This window comes from Homo sapiens, chromosome 1 (genome assembly GCF_000001405.40).
Source record: "Homo sapiens chromosome 1, GRCh38.p14 Primary Assembly".
NCBI lineage: Eukaryota > Metazoa > Chordata > Mammalia > Primates > Hominidae > Homo > Homo sapiens.
This window is the reverse complement of record NC_000001.11, coordinates 48,354,100-48,376,502: the sequence shown is the minus strand read 5'-3', so window position 1 is coordinate 48,376,502 and position 22,403 is coordinate 48,354,100. Positions and strand designations below refer to the sequence as shown.

The 22,403-nt window shown below is 37.1% G+C and overlaps 1 protein-coding gene across 20 annotated transcripts in view, besides 1 other annotated feature; it reads left to right on the top strand.

Moving 5' to 3' along the window:
- Positions 1-22,403, top strand: part of SPATA6 (spermatogenesis associated 6) — a 210,816-nt gene that overhangs the window by 95,702 nt on the left and 92,711 nt on the right. For 14 of the 20 annotated variants that reach the window (XM_006710699.4, XM_047422919.1, XM_017001510.2 and 11 more), the window contains 2 exons: positions 16,733-16,917; positions 20,734-20,833. The exons of 2 other annotated variants lie outside the window; for them this stretch is intronic. In XM_006710699.4, coding sequence (XP_006710762.1) covers positions 16,733-16,917; positions 20,734-20,833 — 285 coding nt within the window. Of the gene's footprint in view, positions 1-16,732; positions 16,918-20,733; positions 20,834-22,403 lie in introns of those variants that run through there. 4 more of the 20 variants (XM_047422901.1, XM_047422902.1, NM_001286238.2 and 1 more) reach the window with 2 other exon arrangements.
- Positions 6,981-7,481: an enhancer, noted in NCBI's record as "H3K4me1 hESC enhancer chr1:48834694-48835194 (GRCh37/hg19 assembly coordinates)". NCBI's record gives its function as "activates a minimal SCP1, AML or CMV promoter by ChIP-STARR-seq in primed H9 embryonic stem cells {active_cell/tissue: H9 hESC(primed)}" and the evidence as "EXISTENCE:reporter gene assay evidence [ECO:0000049][PMID:30033119]".

The window sequence follows — 22,403 nt, the reverse complement described above, 5'->3', positions numbered from 1 at the left end:
CCAGGAAGGCATTGAAAGGAACTTAGCTCTGCAATCTTAAGAAAAATTGTTAGATTTCTGATTTTCACAACTCAGTGTTTGATGATACCATTTATTGAAATAGGAAAATGTACAAGGGCTAGGTTGGAGTTCACAGAACTCTAAATTTTTCTGCAAATTCCTGTTTATCTTGTTTAGGCTTTGGAGAGTCTTTGGCAGTGGTTTTCATCCCAGAAGCTTAAAAATCAACAGACCAGTGCTTAAAACTCAACCACATGACACTTGTCCCATTCTGAAGGGGATTTACCTTTAAGAAGTTACTGAACTTTTGTTTCTAGCAGGTCAGATGGAAAGGAAAGCAGGCAAGAGGAAGGATAGAGGCCTGAGGGTGATGGAGGAACATAACACAGGAGATAAGGAATAGTGGGATAAATGCTGTATCTTTCAAATTAGAATGTGAAGGCATCTGAAAGGCAAATGGTTTTAACATTTTATATTTTTAATTTGCCTTGGCTAGCAAATCTTTTAAGGAAGGAATTTTTAGAATCTGGATTAAAAAATAAATTTTGTCATAGCAATTAGGAAATATAGACCATTGGATGTATGAGATTTTGCTTCTTTCCATTTTAAGGTACCTTTCAAACAGTTTTATTTATATAAAAAATTATCCAAAGTTGCCATTGCAAGTCTAAAATATCCTTGGTGAAATCATGCTGTTTAGAAAAATAAGTGTATAATTTAAAGTTCTAGTATGTATACATGTAGGAAGCTTGAATATAACTTGGAAGGGGCATGGACCTAGACTGAAATAAATCCATGAGTCTGGCGGTGTTGGTCAAATATATTACTTGTGTGCATTTTGTCTTTGCCCTCATTTTAATAGTTGCTTATTTCAAATTGAAGACTGGACAGATTTGCAATTCTAGAAACATGGGAGATTTGGAGGCAGTCTCTCCCAGAGGAAATTTCTCTCATGAAGAAAACAATTAAAAAAAAATACAAAACAAAACAGAGGAACGTTTTCATGATATTTTGACAAGTGACCCAGGGCAAAGATTTTATTATAAGGATGTTGGTACAATGAGAACAACTGAACCTGTGAGTCTTTGGGCCTGGCTCAAAAATGGGTTAGTGGCTTTTATCTGTTCACTTCTCTAGGAACTTTCTTTTATAGACTCCCCTCAAAAAGTGACAAAGACAAAGAGATACATATTAGTATTGTTAGTAATGAGACAGATTTCTCCCTGGCATACAAATTTGCAATTAATAGATTACTGAAAGTCTTCTGCATTTCTGAAAGACAGGGAAACTCAGTGATTGAGAGCTTAACCAAAGGAAATTGGAGCTGAGACTCAGTACCAAGACCCAGTTCACCATTATAGCCAGAGAGATCCCTGAAGAGAGAGGCTAAAAGAAGTCACAGAGGAATTTGGTATTTCTAAGTTGAAGATCTTAGCTGTGGCAGCAAAAGGGCCTATTTGATCTTATTGGACTTCTAGGATTGTCAGCTGCCATCTGGTCAGAAGTACATCACAGTAACTGAATAACCTGTTGATATGCAAAGCTGAGTTTATGACATAATACAGTATGGGAGAGCACTACCTTGACAGTCTTAGTGTTGTCTCTGAAAGAGGCAGGTTAATGGCTGATATTTATATGGTTTTGGGAACTAGGCTTGAGTGTTTTAAGAGAGCTTTCAGTGTGGGATTCTAGTAGGCAAAGTTTGTGATATAAAAGTTTAGGATTAATGGAATTAAGGCATGAGTCTTAAAGAAAGTCTTGACAAGTAAACACTATTTTGATAAGGAAGGAATTTGTTCAGTTGAGTGATCTATTGTCATAAGAAGGGAACTGTTTGCCAGGATTCAGAATCTGTTGTTTGGAAAAGGTAGGTGATTGATGATTGAGCAGTCTGTTGCTCAGGTAAATGATTTATGGGAAGGTCTTGAAGAAAATAACCAAGTTATTTACTGGTTTATAGCTTTATTTTCCTGGGCAAGAATTGAGGAACTCATGAGAATGTCATGTTGTAGTAGGTAGGTCTTAGTTCTTTGTTCTGATAGTTAAGCCATATGAATGCAAATGGTCTCAGTTCTCATGTCTCACCAAAGTTATATGTTTTTCCATTAGTGTGTTGTACATTGTTTATTAGACATATTCCTAGAAACTTTATGGCTTGTTCCTATTGTGAATGGACTTCTTTTTTTTTTTTATAAAATTACATTTTTGTTGTTTTACTGATGTATAGGTTTGGAATTGATTTTTGCATGATAATCTTGTAATAGATGTTCTTGGATTTTTTTATAGAGGTAAACTTATCATCTACATATAAAGAATTTTATTTTTGCCTTTCATAATATTTGTCTCAGCTTACCAGGATCTTCAATACTGCAAATAAAAGTGGCAATAGTGAATGTGGCAGAGACATTTCTTACTTATCGGCTATACACACACTTTCCCATACTTCTAAGCCTAATTGCAGGTAGATGGGGCCTAGTTCTAGCCAATAGACTGTGCATGGAAATTATGTGGATCAGTTCCAGAGCAAAGCATAAGAGAGTTAATATAAACATTGATATGTTTGGCTGTGTCCCCACCCAAACTTCAACTTGAATTGTATCTCCCAGAATTCCCCTATGTTGTGGGAAGGACCCAGGGGGAAGTAATTGAATCATGGGGACCGGTCTTTCCCATGCTATTCTCCTAATAGTAAGTAAGTGTCAAGAGATCTGAGGGGTTTATCAGGGGTTTCTGCTTTTGCTTCTTCCTCATTCTCTCTTGCTGCCGCCATGTAAGAAGTGCCTTTTGCCCTCAGCCATGAAAGTGAAACCTCTCCAGCCATGTGGAACTGTAAGTCAAACTTCCTTTTCTTCCCAGTCTTGTGTATGTCTTTATCAGCAGTGGAAAACAGATTAATACAGTAAATTGTTACCAGTAGAGTGGGGCGTTGCTGAAAAGATACCCGGAAATGTGGAAGCGACTTTGGAACTGGGTAACAGGCAGAGGTTGGAACAGTTTGGAAGGCTCAGAAGAAGACAGGAAAATGTGGGAAAGTTTGGAACTTCCTAGTGACTTGTTGAATGGCTTTGGCAAAAATTCTGATAGCGATATGGGCAATAAAATCCAGACTGAGGTGGTCTCAGATGGAGATGAGAAGCTTTTTGGGAACTGGAATAAAGGTGACTCTTGTAAAGAGAGTGGCGGCATTTTGCCCCTGCCCTAGAGATTTGTGGAACTTTGAACTTGAGAAAGATGATTTAAGGTATCTGGCAGAATAAACTTCTAAGCAGCAAAGCATTCAAGAGGTGACTTGGGTGCTATTAAAGGCATTCTGTTTTATAAGGGAAGCAGAGCATAAAAGTTTGGAAAATTTGTAGCCTGACTATGCGATAGAAAAGAGAAACCTGTTTTTTGGGGAGAAATTCAAGCCAGCTGCAGAAATTTGCATAAGTAGCAAGGAGCCTAGTGTTAATCCCCAAGACCACAGGGAAAATGTCTCCAGGTCATGTCAGAGACCTTCATGGCAGCCCCTCCCAATCACAGGCCGAGAGGTCCAGTGGGAAAAAGTGATTTCATGGACTGGGCCCAGGGTCCCTGTGCTGTGTGCAGTCTAGGGACTTGGTGCCCTGTGTCTCAGCCACTAAAGCCATGGCTAAAGGGGCCAATTTACAGGTTGGGCTCTGGCTTCAGAGGGTGGAAGCCCCAAGCCTTGGCAGCGTCCATGTGGTGTTGAGCCTGTGAGTGCACAGAAGTCAAGAATTGAGGTTTGGGAACCTCTGCCTAGTTTTCAGAAGATGTATGGAAACTCCTGGATGCCCAGGCAGAAATTTGCTGCAGGGGCGGAGCCCTCATGGAGAACTTGTGCTAAGGCAGTGCAGAGGAGCCCCCACACAGAGTCCCTACTGGGGCACTGCCTGGTGGAGTGTGAAAAGAGGGCCACCATCCTCCAGATCCCAGAATGGTAGATCTACTGACAGCTTGCACCATGCGCCTGCAAAAGCCACAGACACAATGCCAGCCCGTGAAAGCAGCAGGAGAGAGACTATATCCTGCAAAACCACAGGGGTGGAGCTGCCTAACACCATGGGAACCCACATCTTGCATCAGTGTGAGCTGGATGTGAGATATGGAGTCAAAGGAGATCATTTTGGAGCTTTAAGCTTTGACTGCTCCACTGGATTTCAGACTTACATGGGCCCTGTAACCCCTTTGTTTTGGCCAGTTTCTCTCATTTAGAACAGCTGTATTTACCCAATACCTGTACCCCCATTGTGTCTAGGCAGTAACTAGCTTGTTCTTGGTTTTACAGGCTCATAGGCAGAAGGGACTTGCCTTGTCTCAGATGAGACTTTGGACTGTGGACTTTTGGGTTAATGCTAAAATGAGTTCGGACTTTGGGGGACTGTTGGGAAGGCATGATTGGTTTTGAAATGTGAGGACATGATATTTGGAGGTGCCAGGGGTGGAATGATATGGTTTGGCTGTGTTCCCATCCAAATCTTAACTTGAATTGTATCTCCCAGAATTCCCACATGTTGTAGGAGGGACCTAGGGGAAGGAAATTGAATCATGGGGGCCTGTCTTTCCCATGCTGCTCTCATGATAGTAAATAAGTGTCATGAGATCTGTTGGGTTTATCAGGGGTTTCTGCTTTTGCTTCTTCCTCATTCTCTCTTGCCACCACCCTGTAAGAAGTGCCTTTCACCCTCAGCCATGATTGCGAAACCTCCCCAGCTATATGGAACTGTAAGTCTAATTAAACCTCATTTTCTTCCCAGTCTCGTGTGTGTCTTTATCAGCAGCATGAAAATGGACTAATGCAAACACTCTTGTTACAGTGACAATGAAGCTTCAGGTTCTAGATAGTACAGTTATAATTTGTTTAGCATGTTTTATCAGCATAAGTCCTTGGGCAGTTTTGTATAATTTCTCTTGCTAAACTGTGTTACCATATAGTGGAGGAAAAATGAACGTTTATGATGTCCAGCCACTGATTTCAAACTTAATTTGCTACTGCAGTATTGCCTAACATGCTGTAGTGTAGACTAATGTAGTGTGTATTCTTGTCTTTGATAGGATCATCTATAAATTTCCACACATATAAATATTATATGCAGTAAATAAAAAATAAATATTATTTGCAGTAAGGTTTTGTTAGCTATCATTTAGCAAGTTAAGGAAGTTCCCTTGAAATTCCTTGTTTGAATATCTATCTATCTATCTATCTATCTATCTATCTATCTATCTATCTATATAGATACATATTCAATGAATGGATATTGAATATTACCAAATGCTGTTTCCAGCACCTGTTGAGATGATAATTTTTTTTATGGTGAATTGATAAATTTTCTAATGATAATCCATCCTTGTATTATTTGAATAAACTGCCTTGTCATGTTGTGTTCTTCTAGCTTATTCTTTAACATTCCTGAATTAAAATATTTTAGTTATAATTTTTCCATATATGGCCACAATTGAGGGTGGCCTATAATTATCCTTTCTTGTACTGTCCTTGAATGATTTGGTAGCATTGTTGTGATCACATTATAACTTTAGTTGGGAATGTTTTCTTTCTTTCTCAGAAAGTTTGTCAGTTTGTTCCTTAGCTGTGTATATTGGATTATTGGTAAATCATATCGTGAGCCCATCCTTTGTGGGACTTTCCTTGTAGAAATCCTGTTAGGCTTGGGCTATGAGAGTTTGCAATTTGTTTCTGCCATAGATCCCTCATATATAATTGGTCTGGAACCCCCACTGCTTAACAGCTGTTTGATTTTGCTTTTATTTTCTTACCAATAAAGTACAGATAATAAAAACGTCTACCTTATAAGGTTGTTGTGAGGATTTAAAAAGTTTTCTATATGTAAGTGAATAGAACAGTGGTCTAAGAGGGGAGGGGTTCCCCTCAAGATCTGATATATTTGGGAATTATTTTCTTATTGTATTATTTTAGAATATCTTTCAAATTCAGCTTCAGTGTAAAAAAAGTACATCTTACTTAAACCAAATCAGATAGTGCACATATGAATGTTTAAATCAGATAAGATAGGAATTGATCTTTTACTTGATGTAAGATTCACTAAGGAATGTTCTTGGCAAGATTGAGAAAGTGATTTCAGTTACCCATATCTACTTTTTCCCCTTTCAGAACCATACTTTCCTCTGGCCATCCTGCAAGTTGTACCTGCACTGTGCTTCTGTCCTATGGTCCTTATTCTCAACTACTTCTCAGCTAATTCCATTTGAATTATTTGTATTTATTTCTGAACTCTTCTGCCCTATGACAGAAGAGAAACTTTAGAGAATAGTGTGTGATACTAGGCACTATGTAGGCTAACAACAAATATTTGTTGAGTAACTGAATTTTCTAGTTCCCATTATTTGTAGTAGTTAATTCTCACCCACACTAATTTGACCTTGAGGTTTTTGTAAATGTAACATTTTTATGGCCAATAATATGATTTGTCAACTTACTGTGTAAGCAACTTTTCAGGAATCTTATTTCATACGTGTGGTATAAAAACTCTGCATATCATAGATTTGAAGAGCATGTCATTAATCACATGAATTTAGTATATGAAGTTTCCTTTTGAGGGTGGAGCCAAGATGGCCGAATAGGAGGAGCTCCGGTCTACAGCTCCCAGCGTGAGCGACGCAGAAAATGGGTGATTTCTGCATTTCCATCTGAGGTACCGGGTTCATCTCACTAGAGAGTGCCAGACAGTGGGTGCAGGACAGTGGGTGCAGTGCACCATGCGCAAGCCAAAGCAGGACGAGGCATTGCCTCACTCGGGAAGTGCAAGGGGTCAGGGAGTTCCCTTTCCTAATCAAAGAAAGGGGTGACAGACGGCACCTGGAAAATCCAATCACTCCCACCCCACTACTGCGCTTTTCCGACGGGCTTAAAAAACGGCACACCAGGAGATTATATCCCACACATGGCTCGGAGGGTCCTACGCCCACGGAGTCTCGCTGATTGCTAGCACAGCAGTCTGAGATCAAACTGCAAGGCGGCAGCCAGGCTGGGGGAGGGGCACCTACCATTGCCCAGGCTTGCTTAGGTAAACAAAGGAGCCAGGAAGCTCGAACTGGGTGGAGCCCACCACAGCTCAAGGAGGCCTGCCTGCCTCTGTAGGCTCCACCTCTGGGGGCAGGGCACAGACAAACAAAAAGACAGCAGACTTAAATGTCCCTGTCTGACAGCTTTGAAGAGGGTAGTGGTTCTCCCAGCACGCAGCTGGAGATCTGAGAACTGGCAGACTGCCTCCTTAAGTGGGTCCCTGACACCCGAGCAGCCTAACTGGGAGGCACCTCCCAGTAGGGGCAGACTGACACCTCACACGGCCGGGTACTCCTCTGAGACAAAACTTCCAGAGGACCGATCAGGCAGCAGCATTCGCGGTTCACGAAAATCCGCTGTTCTGCAGCCACCACTGCTGATACCCAGGCAAACAGTGTGGAGTGGACCTCTAGCAAACTCCAACAGACCTGCAGCTGAGGGTCCTGTCTGTCAGAAGGAAAACTAACAAACAGAAAGGACATCCACACCAAAAACCCATCTGTACATCACCATCATCAAAGACCAAAAGTAGATAAAACCACAAAGATGGGGAAAAAACAGAGCAGAAAAACTGGAAATCTAAAAAACAGCACGCCTCTCCTTCTCCAAAGGAATGCAGTTCCTCACCAGCAGTGGAACAAAGCTGGACGGAGAATGATGTTGACGAGTTGAGAGAAGAAGTCTTCGGACGATCAAACTACTCCGAGCTACAGGAGGAAATTCAAACCAATGGCAAAGAAGTTAACAACTTTGAAAAAAAATTAGACAAATGTATAACTAGAATAACCAATGCAGAGAAGTGCTTAAAGGAGCTAATGGAGCTGAAAGCCAAGGCTCGAGAACTACGTGAAGAATGCAGAAGCCTCAGGAGCCGATGTGATCAACTGGAAGAAAGGGTATCAGTGATGGAAGATGAAATGAATGAAATGAAGCGAGAAGGGGAGTTTAGAGGAAAAAGAATAAAAAGAAACGAACAAAGTCTCCAAGAAATGTGGGACTATGTGAAAAGACCAAATCTACGTCTGATTGGTGTACCTGAAAGTGACGGGGAGAATGAAACCAAGTTGAAAAACACTCTGCAGGATATTATCCAGGAGAAATTCCCCAATCTAGCAAGGCAGACCAACATTCAGATTCAGGAAATACAGAGAACGCCACAAAGATACTCCTCGAGAAGAGCAACTCCAAGACACATAATTGTCAGATTCACCAAAGTTTAAATGAAGGCAAAATGTTAAGGGCACCCAGAGAGAAAGGTCGGGTTACCCACAGAGGGAAGCCCATCAGACTAACAGCTGATCTCTTGGCAGAAACTCTACAAGCCAGGAGAGAGTGGGGGCCAATATTCAACATTCTTAAAGAAAAGAATTTTCAACCCAGAATTTCATATCCAGCCAAACTAAGCTTCATAAGTGAAGGAGAAATAAAATACTATACAGACAAGCAAATGCTGAGAGATTTTGTCACCACCACGCCTGCCCTAAAAGAGCTCCTGAAGGAAGCACTAAACATGGAAAGGAACAACTGGTATCAGCCACTGCAAAAACATGCCAAATTATAAAGATCATGAAGGCTGGAAGAAACTGCATGAACTAATGAGCAAAATAACCAGATAACATCAAGATGACAGGATCAAATTCACACATAACAATATTAACTTTAAATGTAAATGGACTAAATGCTCCAATTAAAAGACACAGACTGGCAAATTGGATAAAGAGTCAAGACCCATCAGTGTGCTGTACTCAGGAGACCCATCTCATGTGCAGAGACACACATAGGCTCAAAATAAAGGGATGGAGGAAGATCTACCAAGCAAATGGAAAACAAAAAAAGGCAGGGGTTGCAATCCTAGTCTCTGATAAAACAGACTTTAAACCAACAAAGATCAAAAGAGACAAAGAAGGCCATTACATAATGGTAAAGGGATCAATTCAACAAGAAGAGTTAACTATCCTAAATATATATGCACCAAATACAGGAGCATGCAGATTCATAAAGCAAGTCCTGAGTGACCTACAAAGAGACTTAGACTCCCACACAATAATAATGGGAGACTTTAACACCCCACTGTCAACATTAGACAGATTAACGAGACAGAAAGTTAACAAGGATACCCAGGAATTGAACTCAGCTCTGCACCAAGCAGACCTAATAGACATCTACAGAACTCTCCACCCCAAATCAACAGAATATACATTCTTTTAAGCACCACACCACACTTATTCCGAAAGTGACCACATAGTTGGAAGTAAAGCACTCCTCAGCAAATGTAAAAGAACAGAAATTATAACAAACTGTCTCTCAGACCACAGTGCAATCAAACTAGAACTCAGGATTAAGAAACTCACTCAAAACCACTCAACTACATGGAAACTGAACAACCTGCTCCTGAATGACTACTGAGTACATAATGAAATGAAGGCAGAAATAAAGATGTTCTTTGAAACCAACGAGAACAAAGACACAACATACCAGAATCTCTGGGACATATTCAAAGCAGTGTGTAGAGGGAAATTTATAGCACTGAATGCCCACAAGACAAAGCAGGAAAGATGCAAAATTGACACCCTAACATCACAATTAAAAGAACTGGAAAAGCAAGAGCAAACACATTCAAAAGCTAGCAGAAGGCAAGAAATAACTAAAATCAGAGCAGAACTGAAGGAAATAGAGACACAAAAAACCCTTCAAAAAATCAATGAATCCAGGAGCTGGTTTTTTGAAAAGATCAACAAAATTGATAGACCGCTAGCAACATTAATAAAGAAGAAAAGAGAGAAGAATCAGATAGATGCAATAAAAAATGATAAAGGGGATATCACCACCGATCACACAGAAATACAAACTACCATCAGAGAATACTACAAACACCTCTACGCAAATAAACTAGAAAATCTAGAAGAAATGGATAAATTCGTAGACACATACACCCTCCCAAGAGTAAACCAGGAAGAAGTTGACTCTGAATAGACCAATAACAGCCTCTGAAATTGTGGCAATAATCAATAGCTTACCAACCAAAGAGAGTCCATGACCAGATGGATTCACAGCCGAATTCTACCAGAGGTACAAGGAGGAACGGGTACTACCATTCCTTCTGAAACTATTCCAATCAATAGAAAAAGAGGGAATCCTCCCTAACTCATTTTATGAGGCCAGCATCATCCTGATACCAAAGCCGGGCAGAGACACAACCAAAAAAGAGAATTTTAGACCAATATCCTTGATGAACATTGATGCAGAAATCCTCAATAAAATACTGGCAAACCGAATCCAGCAGCACATCAAAAAGCTTATCCACCATGATCAAGTGGGCTTCATCCCTGGGATGCAAGGCTGGTTCAACATACGCAAATCAATAAATGTAATTCAGCATATAAACAGAACCAAAGACAAATACCGTATGATTATCTCAATAGATGCAGAAAAAGACTTTGATAAAATTCAACAACGCTTCATGCTAAAAAGTCTCAATAGATTAGGTATTGATGGGACGTATCTTAAAATAATAAGAGCTATCTATGACAAACCCACAGCCAATATCATACTGAATGGGCAAAAACTGGGAACATTCCCTTTGAAAACTGGCACAAGACAGGGATGCCCTCTCTCACCACTCCTATTCAACATAGTGTTGGAAGTTCTGGCCAGGGCAATTAGGCAGGAGAAGGAAATAAAGGGTATTCAGTTAGGGAAAGAGGAAGTCAAATTGTCCCTGTTTGCAGATGACATGATTGTATATCTAGAAAACCCCATCATCTCAGCCCAAAATCTCCTTGAGCTGTTAAGCAACTCCAGCAGTCTCAGGATACAAAATCAATGTACAAAAATCACAAGAATTCTTATACACCAATAACAGACAAACAGCCAAATCATGAGTGAACTCCCATTCACCATTGCTTCAAAGAGAATAAAATACCTAGGAATCCAACTTACAAGGGATGTGAAGGACCTCTTCAAGGAGAACTATAAACCACTGCTCAAGGAAATAAAAGAGGATACAAACAAATGGAAGAACATTCCATGCTCATGGGTAGGAAGAATCAATATCGTGAAAATGGCCATACTGCCCAAAGTAATTTACAGATTCAATGCCACCCCCATCAAGCTGCTAATGACTTTCTTCATAGAATTGGAAAAAACTACTTTAAAGTTCATATGGAACCAAAAAAGAGCCCGCATCGCCAAGTCAATCCTAAGCCAAAAGAACAAACCCGGAGGCACCACGCTACCTGACTTCAAACTATACTACAAGGCTACAGTAACCAAAACAGCATGGTACTGTTACCAAAACAGAGATATAGATCAATGGAACAGAACAGAGCCCTCAGAAATAATGACGCATATCTACAACTATCTGATCTTTGACAAACCTGAGAAAAACAAGCAATGGGGAAAGGATTCCCTATTTAATAAAGGGTGCTGGGAAAACTGGCTAGCCATATGTAGAAAGCTGAAACTGGATCCTTTCCTTACACCTTATACAAAAACTAATTCACGATGGATTAAAGACTTACATGTAAGACCTAAAACCATAAAAACCCTAGAAGAAAACCTAGGCAATACCATTCAGGACATGGGCATGGGCAAGGACTTCATGTCTAAAACACCAAAAGCGGTGGCAACAAAAGCCACAATTGACAAATGGAATCTAATTAAACTAAAGAGCTTCTGCACAGCAAAAGAAACTACCATCAGAGTGAACAGGCAACCTACAAAATGGGTGAAAATTTTCGCAACCTACTCATCTGCCAAAGGGCTAACATCCAGAATCTACAATGAACTCAAACAAATTTACAAGAAAAAAACAACCCCATCAAAAAGTTGGCAAAGGATATGAACAGACATGTCTCAAAAGAAGACATTTATGCAGCCAAAAAACACATGAAAAAATGCTCATCATCCCTGGCCATCAGAGAAATGCAAATCAAAACCACAATGAGATACCATCTCACACCAGTTAGAATGGCGATCATTAAAAAGTTAGGAAACAACAGATGCTGGAGAGGATGTGTAGAAATAGGAACACTTTTACACTGTTGGTGGGACTGTAAACTAGTTCAACCATTGTGGAAGTCAGTGTGGCGATTCCTCAGGGATCTAGAACTAGAAGTACCATTTGACCCAGCCATCCCATTACTGGGTATATACCCAAAGGAATATAAATCATGCTTCTATAAAGACACATGCACATGTATGTTTATTGTGGCACTATTCACCATAGCAAAGACTTGGAACCAACCCAAATGTCCAACAACAATAGATTGGATTAAGAAAATGTGGCACATATACACCATGGAATACTATGCAGCCATAAAAAATGATGAGTTCATGTCCTTTGTAGGGACATGGATGAAATTGGAAATCATCATTCTCAGTAAACTATCGCAAGGACAAAAAACCAAACACCACATGTTCTCATTCATAGGTGGGAATTGAACAAGGAGAGCACATGGACACAGGAAGGGGAACATCACACTCTGGGGACTGTTGTGAGGTGGGGGAAGGGGGGAGGGATAGCATTAAGAGGTATACCTAATGCTAAATGATGAGTTAATGGGTGCAGTACACCAGCATGGCACATGTATACATATGTAACAAACCTTCACATTGTGCACATGTACCCTAAAACTTAAAGTATAATAATAATAAAATAAATTTAAAAAATAAAAAAAGAAAAAAGGCAACATGAAAAAAAAGAAGTTTCCTTTTTTACCTGTACCAGTTTCAGATTAGTTTAAAAATATTAGTTATTTTTTCATCTTGATTCATTTTAGCATTTGCCATATTGAAAGTATTGCATTTGTGGGTTCATAGAAAGTCATTAAAAAAACTCTTTTCATAAATGTAAAAAAAAGACTTTTTTATGCTGAAGTATAAATGCTATACACAGAAGAAAATTATCTTTATGAGCCAAGCTCTCCACTAGTGTTTTCACTTTCCTTTCATTTAATTTTTGTGTCAAATCTGTAATATTGTGTTTTCAGTTCATAGGTAAGGAAACGAAAGCCTTAATAGGGTAAATGACTTGCTCAGGGTCTCATAAACAGCAGGGATTTGAACTTAAGTTTTTGGACTCTAAGCCAGTATTATTGAAGATACATTGAAGAAATATAACCCTTCTGTGATGAGCTAAAGAGATAATATTCCATTTAGCTTTTGAAAGGAAATGATCTAACGGAAACTCACAAGAGCTATGGAAACATTTTTTAAGCTAAGGCTGAAGGCTTTAAGTTTGAAATGGATTCTTATCAAAGAGACGTACCCTTTCGTTTTACCTCGTAACCCCTTATTTTGATAAAAGACTTTACAAAACATATACTCTAATTCCATGGAAGGAATACATTCAAGCTGTGTTCCCATTGCGCAATTACTTCATGTCTATTTAGCTCTAATTTCCTTTCTCATTACTTGTATTTGACGTCTTATATTCTGTATTGTAACTTTTTTTGAGTTCTCCTGTTTATTTAACACCCGTGATTGTTGTTTCCTACTTTGTTTGGTACTTTATATGCAGAAGGTGCTTAATAAATCTTGAATACTGTTGAGTTACAGCATTTAAGATTCTTGTACAATGTATCCCTCCCACCTCTATGATATTCTCTATTACATTTGTATAGAAATAGCCCAACTATTATTCATTTTTCATCTTTGCTCATCTTTTCTTGTGCCTTTTTCCTATTCTGAATGGCTTTTCTCCTCCTTTCCTCTACTTATGGCTTTGATTTCGATTCTACCTCCTCAGTGAGACCTGCACCATTAAGACCATTAGAAGTCTTTCCTTTGAATTTCTTTTTGCAGTTATTGTCATTGGAATGTGTTTGACACTTCAGCATATCTTATTGTCATTTATCCTTCTGTATATGCCCTGTCTCATCTGGATTGTGAGTTTAAATCTTTGTATTTCTTAGGTTTGAGTGTGAGCTAAGATGTTCAAGAGATTCTCAGTGAATATTGTGATAGAAATTCAGTGGTAGTCACCTATAAAAGGCTTTATATAAAGCAATGCTGACTAGTTTGGGGATAAAATTTAGCAGATAAAAATGAAGTGGTCTGCCATCTAACATGTCTCAATTGACATTGAAATTGATAAAAAGAAAATAATCCAGGCCAATTGGTTCGTATTTGGATATATTCTAGAAACAACAGTGTGACACCTTCTCCCACTTTCTTTTTCTTTCTTTTCTTTTTTTTCTTTTTCTTTGAGACAGAGTGTTGCTGTGTCACCCAGGCTGGAGTGCAGTGGTGCAGTCATAGCTCACTGCAACATAGAACTCCTGAGCTCAAGTGTTCCTCCTGCCTCAGCCTCCTGAATAGTTGAGACTACAGATGTGAGCTACCTATTCTGTGTCTCTGAACATATGCACTTACATTGTTGACCATCAGCCTCCTTGATCTTGTTTTTAAGTTTTACTGTGTTTTTGTTTTGTCTCTGAATAGCTAAAAATGGAGCAATTTTATTTTTTTCTTCAGTCTTGATCACATATTTCTTGTTGGTCAGTTATTGGGGACTGTAACTGTGTCATTTGAACTATGTTCTATTAGGTTCTGGAATGAAAGCATGATTCTCTCAGCTGACCACTGACTTATTATTTGTTGTAATTTTGGAAAATAGTGAAAATTATGGTAGTGTTGAAGCAAAACCTATGCTGGACTTATGTTTTAATAACAAATGACATACATTTATTGGGCAACTAATGTATACACCTAGACATCCTGCAATATAGTTTAAATAAATAATGGAAGATCTGTAAGCTAGCTATTATTAACTTTATTTTTCATGTGAGGGAAATGAGTCTGAGAAGAATTAGATAGCTGTCTAAATGGTCAAATATTTAACAAATAGCGCTACTATAACATAAACTCTTAAAGGCAGAGACTTTGTTTTGTTCACTATTGTAGTCCCAAAACTTAGGACATGACTGGGACTCAAATATTTGTTAAATGAATCCAATTCCTCTCCTCTTATTCTCTCTTGAATTCAACTTCAGATTTTCACTCTTGTCACTCCGTTAAAGCTATTTTTGTTGATGTTATCGATGACTTCACTGTTACTAACATCCAAAGGTCTGTCTTTTCTAACTTGACCTATCAAGTTATATTTACCCATTAGTTACTCCCCCTTCCTTAAAATACATTGTTTATTCACTTCCAAAACAACACATTCTCGTGTTTCTTTCCTTTCTTCCCTGGCTACTCTTCAGTAATGTTTTCTTTTCATCTTTCAAGCCTCTAAATATTGGAGTATTCCCAGGGCTAATTCTTCAGATGTTTTCTACTTTTGATTTACTTTTACTTCCTTGGCAATATCACCCAGTGCAATACCTCTAAATACCATTTAGACTCTAGTAATTACCAATTTATATTTTCATCCTGGACTTTCCCCCAAACTCTGCTGTAATATATTGAATGATTAATAGATTAATAGATATGTGAAGCTTAATATGTCCAAAACTAGACTCCTAATATCTTAATTTTCTATGCTTACAATTGGAAGAGTATATCTAATTCATACAAACCCAACCCTTCTAGTTGATTAGGACAGAAAACCTTAGTGTCATCTTTGACATCGAGACCAGTTGTGACCTGTTGGCTGTGTCTTCTAAATATATTGTGAATCTGATCACTTCTCACCTCCATTGCAGTCATTCTGGCCCAAGCCAGCATGCTTTTCCAGATTTTATTATAATAGGTTCCTAGCTGATTTCCTCCCAGGGCCCTTGGCCCCTCTGCAGACTATTCTCAATATAATAGCCTGGGATGTCCTATTTATAGAAGGAAAAAGTCAGGACATATTTTTCTCTCAGAATAAAAGATTAATTTCTTAAAACCTACCTTTTTGACCTCATTTCTTACTACCCAGTCGAGCTCCACTGGCTCCCTTGCTAATATCAAGCATGTCCTCCTCCTACTCCCAAGATCTTTGCATTTATTTTTCTCTCTTCTGGCATAGTCTTTCCACAGATAATCTTCGTGACTTAGGTCTTACGGTCTTTACTGAGGTCTTCAGGTCTCAGTGAGGTTCCTACTGACTATCCCATTTAAAATTACAGTTCCTTTCCTGCATAATCTTTCCATCGCACCCATCAGCACTTAACCCCCCTGCTTCTCATGTTACTTAATATCCTGTAACACACTCTATTCTAGTTCTTTATCTTGGTGTGTTTTTGTGTTTTACATTTATCTCTTCTTATTAGAATATATATTTTACCAGAATATATGTTCCACAGGAGCAGGAATTTATTCATTTGTCTTTTCTGATTTGTTCATGTGTCCATTCCCAGAACAAATGAAGTAGTGAATGAGTATTAGACCTGAATTTGAATCTAGTTCTGTTTGATCTGATAGCTAAACTAGGCTACCATTTGGTTCATGTGGATGTATTCTTTGTTTTAGATACACACATCCCTATGCGAACCCCACCACTACTCAAAAGCCTTTCGAACTGTCTTATACATTTTATATATAATGACAATCTTGATACATTTAATATTTAATCTTACAGTGACTAATTACTATGTTCTGAATTTTATCTTTATAGCTGTGGCATATGTTTTATTACTTTTATAAAATTAGTGTGTGTGTGCACATGCATATGACTACTATGCATACTATATTACTATATAATATGTTATATACATATGTATCTGTATTTGTATATCTATATGTATATAATTTTTAAAACAGGTTATCAGGACACCCCATGGGAGAGACTTCGATGACTCTTTAGAAAAATGTGAAGAGTATTTGAGCCCAAGGTCGTGTAGTAAGCCCCGGCATTCAGCGAGGACCTTGCTAGTCCATTCAGCACCCTCAACAATGCCAAAGCATTCTCCAAGCCCTGTGTTAAATAGAGCTTCTCTCAGGGAAAGGTAATTATGTGCGGTCTTCATTTCTGTACTGATCTTTGAATAATAAGTATTAGAAGGGGAAGCAGCAATTATGCATGTGAAATGAATGTTTATAAAAGTGTAATTTGATTTTAAAAGGCTTAAATTGTTTTTGTTTAGAATATATTACATATTAGATAATGTTAGATATTTCTTCCTAGCACAGTTCTCTATATGTGAGTTTATTAACCAGATATGGGTCACATTAACCTTAATTACAGATTATAGTTCTTAAAAGTGAAAAGTAATATATGTGTTTGTTTTTAGTAGATCCAGAGGAATTTAATATTATAGGCTTGCCTTAAGTGTAAACACAACACAGATTATATTTTTTATTTAGTCATAATGGCTATCTATATATTTTTGGTAGATGGTATCTAGTTTTCTCAAACAACCTACCCCAGCTCCCTAAGAGCATCTTAATCATGTAAAGATTCCAGCTCTCCCTTTAAAAATGCTATGGCAACCAGAGTCTGATCCTGTTATAATTTGGATGTGAAATAAATAGTTCCTTTTCATATATTTTAAAATTGAAATAGGAAATTCCTTGCCTCTGTCACTAATAGTAATATAGAAAACCATGTTTCTGTAATAAGTTGAAAAGAAATCAATCCTGGTTAAGTTTAACTCAAAACTGATGATTTGAACAACAGTGTGTTAGTTTGGATGCTATATTAAAACAAACCTATTTTAAACATACAGGTTTGTCTGTTTACTTATTAGCTTTGAAAGTATTCATAGTGGATATATGGAGGCATGTTGTAGACCCTAATCCTGAGATATGGAATTTTGATTAAGGTTGCTTCTAGTCCATTAGAATCATGCCTGTTGCGGGATAGTGGGGGATCATGGAATCGTTAACATAGGTGCGCACACACACAAACAACAACAATAACATCAAAAATTCAGGAGAAAAACTGGAAGAGCGGTTTTTCTGCTGAAGTTGATAACTTGCATCTCAGTATCAGGGGACTTTCCTCGATTTCCTCATCTGCCCAGCTGTTTAGACGTACAGTTGGTGCTCCTTTCTTTTTACCGACTTTTAGAATTCATCTCTTGTGATTTTGTTGATTAGGTCCTTTGTCATCTCTGTAAGTTTTCCAGAATTTTTTAAATCTGTATTTCCTTGGATATGTTTTTATTTACTTTTATAATAAACTTTTATAAATACTTTTATAAATAAATATTATTTACTTTTATAAATAAATTTGTTTTTATTTACTTTTATAAATACTTTTATTTTTCTACCTTTTCACATATTTTGCAGAACTCTCCAATTGTAAACCTACCACTCTAGTACAGTATTAATTTTAGTTCAGTGTTACTTTATCTTTGTATGCAATTTTGTTCCAGCTTTTGACCTCAGTCTTTTCTGGATTGATCAATTTGTCATTGAGGCTATATTCAAAAATTCTTCATCGATGACAGCTAAAGTTAGCTGTCCCTTTATTCATATTTCAGTGTGGGGAAGGGCTTAGAGTAGATAGCGGTGGCATTTACACATTATTTTCACTCAGGATGATAGATGTAGTAAGTTATTTGCTAGAAGAAAATGAGTGATTCTAATGTTAAACATTACCTAATTTAACTATAACTTGAGGAAGGTTAGGTAATTTTAAAATAAAAGAATACAATGGCAATTTAGTTTTGAATTTACCTATACAAATTAACATTCTGTTGGTATACTCTCTGGGGCAGGCATGGTAGATAAGCTTTTTTTACTTTCGCTAAAGCAGAACACCTTTGATTTGAGTGTATTTTCTAAATATCTTGTCTCTAAAGGAAGATAAAATGTCTAAGACGTACTACTGGGAACAAAAAATTTTATTCTTTTCAACACTCAGTACCTCATCTTTAAATATAAGACATTCTCTGAAATGGCTTTTTATAGGTCACTAAGCAGTATACTTGTAGGGTGTTTATACAATCTATTGAAATCAATAAACAATTTAAACTGATGTAAATGTGGATTATATGTTCCAGGCAAAATTGGAAGTTTTGCGTGGATGATGTATGACAGAACATACAGTTATAGGAGTTTATCTGTGTAAATATTTATTGAAATTAAGTAAGTTTTCTCTAAGATTGCAGTAAAATGCTGACTCCTTAATCATGTATATAAACAGATTTTTAGAAACTTTCCCAATGGCTTTAATCAAATGAATTGCTTTATTTATAGTGAAGGTGTTTTTTGCTTTGTGCCCATTTAAGAAATTCCTCCAGTAAAGTTAGCACAACATAAAATGGTTTCAATTTTGGTTATAAGTGTTATATTTCAGAAGTTGTTTCCTTCTCAATGTGTAAATATTAATATTATAATATAAAATTTGTGTGAGCTTTTGAGTTATTACTCAAATTAGACCAAGAAATACTAGCAAATCTACTGAAAAAGGAGCTGATATTCTTTTGAATCATGCTTAAAGTTTTGAGTTTTATAAATGAAATTAGACTGGCAAGCAAGCATTCCTTATTCCACAGCACAGACTAGTGGATCCTCTAATAGTATCATTGAAGAGATCCAGTGGATTCTCAGAGCTGCATAGTTGGATCTCAGATTTCCAAGATGTACTATATATATTGCAAATAACAAAGTCTGCTAATGTATTTTTCATAGATGCAATAGAACTTGCTTTTATATATACAGGAGATTAAAGTTTAGATAATTGATTATTCATTACTTATTGCATTCTTTAAAGTAGATTGTATAAAACATTTATCCTGTTTAGTAGTTTATATTTTGTATAAACATATGATATTGTAGCTTTTAAGAACAAACTGGGCTCATGCCTGTAATCCCAGCACTTTGGGAGGCCAAGGTGGGCGGATCACGAGGTCAGCAGTTTGGGACCAGCCTGACCAACATGATGAAACCTCTCTACTAAAAATACAAAAATTAGCCAGGTGTAGTGGCAGGCAATCCCAGCTACTCAGGAGGCTGAGGCAGGAGAATTGCTTGAACCTGGGAGGCGGAGGTTGCAGTTAACCAAGGTCGCGCCATTGCACTCCAGCATGGGTGACAGAGCGAGACTCCGTGTCAAAAAAAAAAAAAAAAAAAAAGAAAGGACAAACTGGGAAGAAAACAAGGCAAAGTTTTCAGCAACATAGCAACATTTTACCTATTTCATTATAAGGGAATTATTAATAACACTATATATTATAATTAGAAATTTTCATTATTATATGAAATAAAGTCGTTTATCTATACTAGTGTCAGTTTTGAATTTGAGAAGGGCATACAAAAGAGAAAGGGATGCTTTGTTTCTTCTTTCATATCTTTAATTTCAACCCCCAGACTCTAATAATAAAGTTATATTTTTCAATTTTTTAGATGCATTTATTCATAGCTGAGACTAGAGAGATAATATCATCTGTGTTGAAAAGAAACCATTTAACTTCTGTGTTGCTCTGTATTCTGAAAAAATGAGCATGATTAAATTGTAGATATTTTTGTCTATTATACACATTTTGTTTCATTTCATAAAATTAGGTATTTTTTTTCTCTGCAGAAAGGAATTTTTTCACACAGTTTGAGGGTATGATTACTAAAGAATAGGAACTATATGTAAAGGCATTGTACATAGAATTACTGTTTTCATATGAAAATCTGTATCTTTAATTAAAGCTCCAAATAACTGTGTGGAAATCATTAAAATGGTCAGATATATAGGTATGTTCTCCCCAATGTATGCCAACCTTTATTAAGACTATTTGTTGAACATACTGTGAAAACTTGATAGTATAGCTTAGAATCATTACCTGATTTTAGTAACAAAAATAAAACTTATTTTTTGCCTACAGATTTCATTCTGATTGGTGTTCACCTTCAAACTGCGATGAGATCCATGACCGGGTAAAAAATGTCTTGAAATCACATCAGGCTCATCAAAGACATTTATATGTTAGTTTCTAAAATTTTTTTTTGAAGACTATTTATAATAGGTCAAGAAAACCACCAAAGATGCCTAAAGCTTACAAAATTTAGTCACCGGGAAGAAAAAAAGAAAGCAAGCAAGCTCCATTTGATGGAAGTCAGTGGTTTTGCCCAAGGCAACATATCTAAATGCCTGCTTGACCTAAGTCATTATGCAAAATGTTTGAAATAGACCATCTTAACTATAAACAATGTTAGTGATAATTATCTTATAAAGTTTCAGTACATAGTGACTTGATGATAATTATTTCACAGCCTTCAAAATATGAGAACTCTTGTTTTGTGGCCCAATATAAAGCAATTTCATCTACTGCAAATAGATTTAATCCTAAATGGTAGCATGAGTGGGTAGGAGAGGTATGTATTTTGAAGAAACTTCTCAGTTAATTTGTATGTTAATTGAATAAAAGAGGAAAAGGGCAGGTCAGGTTTGTCAGGTTTAACATTAGGAAAAATCTGTATGAGGATATTTTCTGAGAAAAAGCAGATAAGCATTCATATAAATGACAGCTGGGAAATAATGACAGTACTTTTTTATGTGTTTGATCCCTTGTTTCATTCATTAGTTTAAAAAACAATCATTTATCATCAATGTGTGCTGGACACTAAGATTAGTCTTGGGGGGGTATAAGGGGTTTATATGACCTTGGGATCAGTTTTTACAGTTTTAAGTTTCTATATACATGCTGTTTTTAAAATTAAACTTCTTTTCAAAGCATAGAAAAGAACACATAGAAAATGCACAAATAATAAGTAACAGCTTGAGAAATTATAAAATTAACAGTCTCATGTAAACTACCTACCAGATCAAGAAATGAAACAGTTCTCTGCAGAAGCCCCTCTTGTTTCCTGCCAGCTACTGCTATTCCAAGTGTAAACATTATCAAATTTCTAACAAAGTTTTTTATCTTCTAACAGCAAGATATAATATTGCACGTTTTGAGCTTTATATAAATGACATCCTACAGTGTCTACTTTTTTATTCCTGTTTCTTTTTGGTTTTTCAATTCAAGCGTTTTTGCAATTTAGACATCCTGTTTTACCTGGCAGTGTAGCAGTAGTTCATTATTGTTGCCATGAATAAAATGTATTCATACAATACATTTTATTGTATGAAAATGCTACCATTTACTTATTCATTCCTCCATTGGTGCGCATTTGGTTTGTTTTGGGTTTGGGCTATTACAGAGCTGCTGTAAGCAGTATGCACATGTCCTTGGGTGACATTGCATACATTTTATTTGGGTATGTATCTACCAGTGGAATTAATCAGAGGGAATGTACACTCAGCTTTAGTAGATGCTATCAAAGAATGTTGCACATGGTTTTAACAGTTACACTCCCACTACCAATGTGGGAGAGTTCTACTTGTTTCACATCCTCCCTACTTCTTTGACTGATTGTGTGTGTGTATGTGTGTGCATGCATATGCCTCTGTGCTTCTCTGTGTTTTCTTTTGGCATTTTGATAAGTGAAAAGTAATTTATCATATAATGGTTTTAATTTGCTGTGTCCAGTGACGAGTGAATATTCTTAT